Genomic DNA, 8,513 nt, shown 5'->3' on the forward strand with positions numbered 1-8,513 from the left:
TTTCTGCAGACACTAAGTGCTTAAAAAAATCAGAAAAGAACCAATACAGAGTAGAATAATATTCATAATAGTGGCAGCTGCAGTTACTATTTTTTAAATGTGTGTTTGTGCCAGGGACTGAGCTAAATGTTTTATATGAGTTACTTCATTTGTGCCTCACAACAACCCTGTGAACATATGTCCTGGGAGCCCCAGCTTACAAGGCACATGAGAATATAAACCAGGTTTAAATGCAGGCCTGACTTCCCATGCTCTTTCCCTGCACCCACTGCCTGCTTGCTTCATTTGAGGCCAAGCTCTGGGGAAAGGGAGGCTACGGGTGGGTGGAGGGAATCAGTCCAGCGTGTGGCCCACAAGGAGCCGTACACCTGCAGCAAGGGTCTGGCCACAGCGGAGGGGCAGGTGGGGGCGGGGGCAGGGCAAGAGAGAGGCCTGGGCACATGTGTCTTGCTTTTCTGTCCCCACGTTCCCAGGTTCACCTGGAGTTCCTCCCATGTGGACAGAAACCTCCTCCTGCTCCTGACAGGACAGAACGTAGAGCCCTTTGACACGGAGTTCCGGGAGCTGTACGCCATCTCCGAGGAGGTGGACTTGTACCGGCAGCTGAGCCTGGCGGGCAGGGTTGGCCTCCATTACTCCTCCACTGTGGCTCGAAAGCTTATCAACCCCAAGTACGCCTTGGTGTCAGGCTGCCGCCACCCGCCTGGGGAGATGATGCGCTGGGCTGCCCGGCAACAGCGGGAGGCGGGCGGCAACCCGGAGGGGCAGGAGGAGGGCGCCAGCGGTGGCGAGTCGGCCTGGCGCCTGGAGAGCTTCCTGAAAGACCTGGTTACGGTGGAGCAGGTGCTGCCCCCCGTGGAGCCCATCCCCTTGGGAGAGCTGAGCCAGAAGGATGGCAGGATGGTCTCTCACATGCACAGAGACCTGAAGCCCAAATCCCGAGAGGCACCCAGCCGAAACGGCATGGGAGAAGCGGCCCGGGGGGAGGCCGCCCCCGCCAGGCGCTTCAGCAGCAGGCTCTTCAGTCGCCGAGCCAAGAGGCCTGCGGCGCCCAATGGCATGGCCAGCTCTGTCTCCACCGAGACCTCTGAAGTGGAGTTTCTGACGGGGAAGAGGCCCAACGAGAATTCCAGTGCTGACATCTCAGGTGAGCCCTCTTCCCTCTGGCCTGGTGCCTCCCCAGGCCTCTGGCCCTCGCCCCGCATCGGCTCTTATCCAGGAGCACTGCCTCATACCTGCAGAGGAGTAGATTCCATCTGTGGGCACAGAGAGGGCAGGAGCTCTGGGGTTCCGGGGTCCTTGGTTCCCATTCTGGCCCCGGCCATTAGCTGCCTGGAGGCCTTGGGCAAGTCCTGCAGCTCTGAGTTTCATTTTCCTCTTCTCTGAAAAAAGAGAAGGATTCCAGGCTTGGCATGGAGGGGTCTCAGAGCTTCTAATGCTACTGCTAGAAGGCATTCAGATCAGCCCTCATGGTAACCCAACAAATCAAATAAGCTGAGAAACTTTCTCCTTTGTAAGTGAAGAAACGGGGGCTCTGCACAGTGGGGTGCATGGCTGCAGCTCGACCCTGGCTCTGAGTTGAGGGCTCTTTCTAGCAAACCTTTTCCCTTGCCAGATCACCTATTGTCAGGATCTCACCTGGTTAGACACACCCCACCCTCCCCTGTACCCTACTGGTGCCCTGACCCAGTTTCCTGTCTCTGTGACGGGCAGTCCGACTTGGTTTCTCCACGTCCCTCTGCTGAGTGCTGTCTGCCCAGCTGCTTGTCCCTGGGTGGGATTGTTCCATGGCAGCGTCTTTCTGGGCATCTCTCTGGGATCCCCAGGAGGCCCTGGACTTTATGTCTCTCTCTGCAGCAGTCTCTGGGGTGGCCTTTCAGGTGGCTGGTGGCGGTGCCTTTCTCATCTCTGCATCCCTGAGTCAGGGGACTTTCCATGGTGGGGTTTCTCCCTCCATCGCTGTGGAGCCCAGTGATGAGAACTGGGCTCTGGCTGGCCAGGTGGGCGATGGCAGGGCCTGAGGTCTTGTGTGCCCGGCCCAAGGGCTTCCAGGACTCCTGCATTCCTGCACACCAGCTTTAACCGGATTGTGATGGTGTGAGAGCAGGGAGCACAAGTGTCATCCCCTCTGCTAATTCCCCAGCACTGCTTTGGAGTCTGACACATTCTGTGCTCAGGAAATGTTGGCTAACTTTGCTTCTTGGAGTTGGAACAGGCCTGGGCGCCTCTGTGGCTGTGGGCACAGTGGGAGTGTCAGGGCGTTCCTTCTGTTTGGCCTGGAGACGTTGACTGAGCTGCTGGCTTGCCAGGTCCTGCACAGGCACTCTCTCTCCCCTTCTGCCCCCACAACCACCCTTCAAGCACAGAGGTGGCAGATGGCTCGGAGAGGTGAATGAAGTGGTCCCAGGTCACAGGAAGTGGTAGTAAGGCCAGGATTCAAGACCAGGCATGGGCACAGCCATGTTCTGTCAGGGGAGGGGTGGCTGGCCCCATCCCCATTCCTCCTGGGCTCCCTGGCTCCCCTAACACCAGCTGCTGCTGCTGCTGCTGCTCCTGCTCTGTACCTCTGGTTTGGAGGAAGGGTTGCCATGGTGAACACCTGGCAAGGGAGCGAGGGGAAGAGGGGAAGGAGGTGGAAGAGGGGAAGGAGGGGGCGAGCCGACAGCAGCAAGGACTATTTCCCGAGTCCTGACTGAAGTGGAGTGGAAGCTTTCTCTTCCTTCAGCCCCTCGCCCTGAGATGCAGTTTCCATGGAAACTCAAAGCCCATTGTCTTGTCCCTTCCCGCTGCCTTCTGCGTGTCCCTCCACATCCATGTCCCTGCTCCCACATCTCGGGTGGTCACGGCGGCCCTGCCCCTGCTGCCGCTCTCTGGTGTCTGCACATGGTGCCCAGGAGCCAGCCTTGCAGACACAGACGGTACCCTTGGGAAGCTCCTCTCCAGGGCACCTGATGCTGGGATAGAGAGAGAGAGGGAATAGTGAGGGCGAGGGCACGGACAGCCAGGAAGGTCCGGGGATGCCCGGAACCATCATCCCGTTCCTTGTCCGTCCTTTAGACGAACACAGAGCAGCCTCCTCCGGTAAGGCTTCTGCCCACCTGGGTGGGCGCCCAGTACCTGCAGTCCTGAAATTCACGCACCTTTCCTCTCCCTCCCAAGGCCTGAGGGAGAAGCAGCAGCTCCTCTCCTGTCTTTTGCTGGTTTTGTTTGTTTTTAAGACAATGTCTCGCTGGAGTGCAGTGGTGCGACCACAGCTCATTGCAACCTCAACCTCCTCGGTTCAAGCGATTCTCCCACCTCAGCCTCCTGAGTAGCTGGGCTCACAGGTGTGTGCCACCATGCCTGGCTAATTTTTTAAATTGTTTGTATAGACAGGGTCTCATCATGTTGCCCAGGCTGGTCTCCTGGCCTCAAGTGATCCTCCTACCTCTGGGCCTCCCAAAGCGCTGGGATTATAGGCACAAGCCACCGCGCCTGGCCAGGAGCTCCTCTCCTAAGAGGCCCTTTTTCACGGCCTCCAGCTTCCCACACCATGGCCAAGTGGGGCTGCTTCAGTGTCTCCCCTCAGGCAGCAGCAGCTAAGCAGCCAGGACTGCATGTGTGAGAAGGTGGGCCCCTGACAGCATGGGGCACCCACCGTGGGAATCAGTGAGAACCTGAGCTCCTGCCTTTGGGCCCCCATGCAGGGAAAGTGTCCCCTTCCCCTGGTAAATGTTCAGAACCTCCCAGAGCAGCTGCCACCTGGCTCTCAATTCGGGACACATTGCTCCCTGTACCCAGGACACATCCGTCCCCTCCCTGGGGCTGTGTTCTCATCTAGAAGGTGGGGGAGTGCACCATTGAGGGTTTCCGAGGTCCCCTGGAGTTCAGATTCTGCCTCTGTTCTTTCTGTCTCTGCTGCCCTCTTGTCAAGGGAGAACCTGAGTTGATGACAGTTTCTGTCATAAGAGAAAAAATAGAAAAAGCTCAGAGCTGACAGCCTGTAAAATTGCTTGATAAGGAGTATATAGTTGTCAAACAGCATGCAAATTTTTGCAAACCCAGGTGTGGCCCTTGGGAGAACCTTAGGGAAGTTGCTTCCTCCTTTCCGGCTGGGGATCCAGCTGGGGGCCAGGGGTGCCCAGCGGTTTCAAGGCTCACGGCGCACTCTAGTGGCAGAAGCTAGGCGCCTCTTCTACGTCTTCCCTCCGCCCTCGCCTCCTGCTGGGAGTGTTCATCCCTTATTCTGGAGCTTCTGTGCCCTCCGCACAGGCTCCCTGGGTCAGGGACCCCCAAACTCACAGAGCAGCCTCAGTGGAGAGCCTTGGTAAACATGCAACGAGGCCAGGCGCGGTGGCTCATGCCTGTAATCCCAGTGCTTTGGGAGGCTGAGCTGGGAAGATCCCTTGAGCCCAGGAGTTCCAGACTAGCCTGGGCAACATAGCAAGTCCCCATCTCTTAAAAAAAAATTTAATTAGCTGGGGGTAGTGCCGTGTGCCTGTAGTCCCAGCTACTTGGGAGGTGGAGGCAGGAGGATCACTTGAGCCTGGGAAGTCGAGGCTGCAGTCAGCTGTGATTGTGCCACTGCACTCCAGTCTGGACGACAGAGAGACCCTGTCTCAAAAAAATAAAAGCAAAAGTAAATACAAATTTTAAAATGCAACAAATACGCTTGGAGAGGCCGAGGCAGGTGGATCACCTGAGGTCAGGAGTTCGAGACCAGCCTGGCCAACATGGTGAAACCCTGTCTCTACTGAAAATACAAAAATTAGCTGGGCATGGTGGGAGGTGCCTATAATCCCAGCTACTTGGGAGGCTGAAGCAGGAGAATCACTTGAACCCAGGAGGCAGAGGCTGCAGTGAGCTGAGATCACACCAGCCTGGGTGACAGAGCGAGACTCCATCTCAAAATAATAATAATAGAATTTTTAAAGATAAAAATAAAATCCAACAAATAGAGTCTGTACCACTGGGCAGGGCTTAGGAATCTGCATTTTAAATTAGGGCCCTCATTTTCCAGTGTAGCTCCCCAGTGCAGAGGGTCCTCAGACCAGCCGACTCCGTGGCGACTGAGGAAACACAGATGAGGCCCTGCCCTTTGAGTGCTGCCAGCCTAGGGGAGGAGATCCCTGTGCTGTGCCTGAGACCCCACCCAGTTCCCCCAGGGAGATGACTGGGAAATGGCCAACACTTTTGAAGTGGCGAGAGACATGGTGCCATACTCCATCACATGGAACTGGCGTCCTCCTCGCTGCCATCCTGCCTGATGACAGCATCTCACAATGAGACCCCCAAGGTTCAGAGAGGCCAGGCCCTGTGTCCGTGGCTGCCCAGGGAGAAAGGGCAGTGTGATCTCCTGCCTCCCCAGCCTTCTGCAGATATCATGGCCATCTCCAGAAGGCTAGGATCGGCACCGTTTCCCTGCACCTTTAAAGACTGTTTGGGCCCGGCGTGGTGGCTCATGCCTGTAATCCCAGCACTTTTGGAGGCCTAGGTGGGCAGATCATGAGGTCAGGAGATCGAGATCATCCTGGCTAACACGGTGAAATCCTGTCTCTACTAAAAATACAAAAAATTAGCCAGGCATGGTGGCACTTGCCTGTAGTCCCAGCTACTCGGGAGGCTGAAACAGGAGAATCTCTTGAACCCGGGAGGTGGAGGTTGCAGTGAGTGGAGATCACACCACTGCACTCCAGCCTGGGTGACACAGTAGGAATCTGTCTCAAAAAACAAAACAAAACAAAACAAAAAACTGTTCGGAAGAACCAGAGCCCCAAATAGAGGACCAGCCCTTTCCCACGGTGTTGTGGGGGCCGAGAGGAAGATGACAGCAGCAACTTGCTTCCCAGAGTGCCTCGGGGTCCTTTCCTGCCCCAGAGTCCCTGGGCCTGTGCTTTGCTTCCCAGTTTCTCTGAGGTGACCTGCAGTGACAGTCCCTTTCCAGAACTCTCCTGGGGTCCCTGGATTTATGTGTGGTTGGCCCCCTGGCTGGCAGTGTGGTCTGGCTCTGTAGAGCTGTGGCTGCTGGGCCGCTGGATTGGGGGACTTGTTCTCCTGTGTCATCCCTTGGGGCCGCAGGTCTCAGATCTCTCTCTTGCTCTTGCTGCGTCTGGGGCATCTGCTGCTGTTATTACTGTTGTTACTAGGATTGTGCTAAACCCCTAAGTAGCTCGCCGTTGCTGTCTCATGCATTTTATTCAATAAATATGTGTCTACGAAGTGTCTGCTCTGTGCCAGGCCCTGCTCTAAGTTCCTGGCACAGCTGTGAACAGAATGAACATGGTCCTTGCTTTTATGGAGCATGTTACCCTGGGGAGAGACGAGGATTAGGGGAGGATGACCCTTCTATAAAGGGTGCCAGGGAAGGCCTCTCTAACCAAGGAGCCTCGGAGCAAGACTTCAATGGAAGGAGAGGGCCCTGTGGACATCTGAGGGAAGATTCTTCCAGATACAGGGAATGCGAAGCCCTGGAGCCTGTGCATGCGGTTTGCACATCATTGTCCTTGTCATGGCTTCCATGTGGGTGACCTCTGCCTCCCTCTCTCCCGCACCACCTCACCTGCCAGCAAACCAGACTGACTGCAGGTCCCGAGTGCCCCAGGCTGCCACCCTCACCCCATGCTTATGTCACATGGCTCCGCTCCGCTGAGCGGCCCCTCCTCCCACCCTGCACCCGTTTTCAGCTCCACCTTGGCGTCACCTCTGAAGCTCCCAGGCCACGCATACTTTGTAAAAAAGACTATTCTGGTCATTTATACACCTTCCCTGTTCACCTGAGCAGGGCTGACTCCCCACACGTGGTCAGCTCCCAATATGTGAGCACTCAGGGAATGACAAGGGACACAGAGTTTGTCCTCAAGCCAAGCCAGTTTCTCTGTCCTGTCCGGGGCTAGGAAATGAATTCTGAGTCTAGGTGCTGTCTCCAGGCTTTCACCCTGCCTTACAAAAAAGTGGGGAGCATGGTGCTGGTGAAGATGGGCCCTGCCCCTGCCTTGCCAGGCTTCTCCCGGAGGCAGCCAGCCGGGTGGTGTGCAGGCTTGGGAAGCAGCTACCCCCACCACCACCCACCACCATCCCACCCCCAGCTACACCGCCTCCCCTGTTTAACGATCTGGAGGTTGATTTGCTTACCTGCCTCCAAAATGCTGCTGCCTCTGGGGAGGAACTGACATCTGCTTAGTGGGCCACGCAAATCAAACCAGCTGATGGGGGGAAATGGGGACGAATGTGTCCATTGCAGCAGTGAGTGACTCTAAGATGGCCGCATTTCATCCCACTAGCAGAGCCGCCCCAGACGTGCTCGGCACCACTGCGGAAAGTGACCCCCAGCGCCTTGGCCATGGAGCCCTTGGGGCGCAGCCTCCTGCCCAAAGGTGGGGGAACACCCTTAATGAGGGTGCAGCTGGATTTGTGGTCAGTCCTGAAGAGCTCGTTCAGTCTGCCTGGATGGATGAGGCCCGAGGCCGTGGGTCACAGTGCAGTGGGCAGGAGCAGCAGCCTGTGTGGCAGGGCAGGGCTCCAAGTTGGGCTCTGTTCAGTGGGTCCTGCTCATGGCCCAGGAGAGGAGGCAGACATGGCCTTAATTAAATTCACAGCTGAAGTGATACTGGAAGGTTGTGTGAGCACCAGAGAGGCAGCCCTTGCTGTGTGGAGGGGAACTGGCAGGAAATAACACGAGCGCCTTCCACCTGGGGAAAGGCAGCCAGCGCTCCGAGGACATGGGCTCCCCGCTCCAGCGCCTGACACCTCGCAGGCCTGCAGGTGTCAGGCCTGCCTCGCTACTCCCCTGCACTCCCTCCGGAGGTCCGAGAGCAGGAATCCAGCCAAAGGAACCGCAGGCCTCATCTCAGGACTGTAAAGAGAGTGGGAAGGAATGGTAGAGGCCTGGGGAAGAAGAGAAATCAGCTTCTCTGGCCGGGGGCGGGGGACAGCTTTCTCTCCCCCTTCCCTCCCTACAGGCAGCGCGTTCCTCTCTGTCCTCCCTTCAAAGGCGCGTCCTAAGCAGTGTGATCCACCCCACGGTGGCAGCTCTTGGCCAGCGCCAGCCTTTCCTGAGGCGCCAGCTTTCCTTCTTCCAGCCTAGGCGGCCTGTGGCGGAAGGAGCTGGAACTGGACCGGGAAGGCCAGGTTCTGGCACTGTCGCTGGCTGGCTCTGGGAGCTGTGGGCACCTCAGCGGTAGAATGCGGCAGCCCGGGAGGGGAACCAGAGAGAAGGACCGCAGTCTTACTTTGCAGGCGGTGGAGCTGCATGTACTAGCTGGTAGTGAGCGGCCTCTTGGCTAGACGTGTGTGTGTGTGTGTGTGTGTGTGTGTGTGTGTGTGTGTGTGTGTGTGTGTGAAAGCAAGTTTATTAGAAAAGTAAAGAAACAAAAGAATGGCTAGTCTGTAGACAGAGCAGCCAAGACTTTGGACTTGATGGTTGTTGTCATTGATTCTGCAGCCTGGATCCTTCCCCGACCCCTCTTTGGTCAGGAGATGGCTGTCACCTTGATGTCCCACCCAGTGGGGCTCCTGCCGAGGCTGCTGAGACAGGC

At 56.9% G+C, this 8,513-nt stretch overlaps 1 protein-coding gene across 1 annotated transcript in view, besides 3 other annotated features; it reads left to right on the forward strand.

Moving 5' to 3' along the window:
• Positions 1-8,513, forward strand: part of FAM83F (family with sequence similarity 83 member F) — a 48,581-nt gene that overhangs the window by 25,863 nt on the left and 14,205 nt on the right. Inside the window, exon 4 of the mRNA NM_138435.4 lies at positions 474-1,147. Within this exon, the coding sequence (NP_612444.2) occupies positions 474-1,147 (674 nt within the window). The remainder of the gene's footprint in view (positions 1-473; positions 1,148-8,513) is intronic.
• Positions 1,864-2,364: an enhancer, noted in NCBI's record as "H3K4me1 hESC enhancer chr22:40418684-40419184 (GRCh37/hg19 assembly coordinates)". NCBI's record gives its function as "activates a minimal SCP1, AML or CMV promoter by ChIP-STARR-seq in naive H9 embryonic stem cells {active_cell/tissue: H9 hESC(naive)}" and the evidence as "EXISTENCE:reporter gene assay evidence [ECO:0000049][PMID:30033119]".
• Positions 2,365-2,865: an enhancer, noted in NCBI's record as "H3K4me1 hESC enhancer chr22:40419185-40419685 (GRCh37/hg19 assembly coordinates)". NCBI's record gives its function as "activates a minimal SCP1, AML or CMV promoter by ChIP-STARR-seq in naive H9 embryonic stem cells {active_cell/tissue: H9 hESC(naive)}" and the evidence as "EXISTENCE:reporter gene assay evidence [ECO:0000049][PMID:30033119]".
• Positions 4,284-4,353: an enhancer, noted in NCBI's record as "active region_19079". NCBI's record gives its function as "activates an Ori minimal core promoter by ATAC-STARR-seq in GM12878 lymphoblastoid cells {active_cell/tissue: GM12878}" and the evidence as "EXISTENCE:reporter gene assay evidence [ECO:0000049][PMID:35858748]".

This window comes from Homo sapiens, chromosome 22 (genome assembly GCF_000001405.40).
Source record: "Homo sapiens chromosome 22, GRCh38.p14 Primary Assembly".
NCBI lineage: Eukaryota > Metazoa > Chordata > Mammalia > Primates > Hominidae > Homo > Homo sapiens.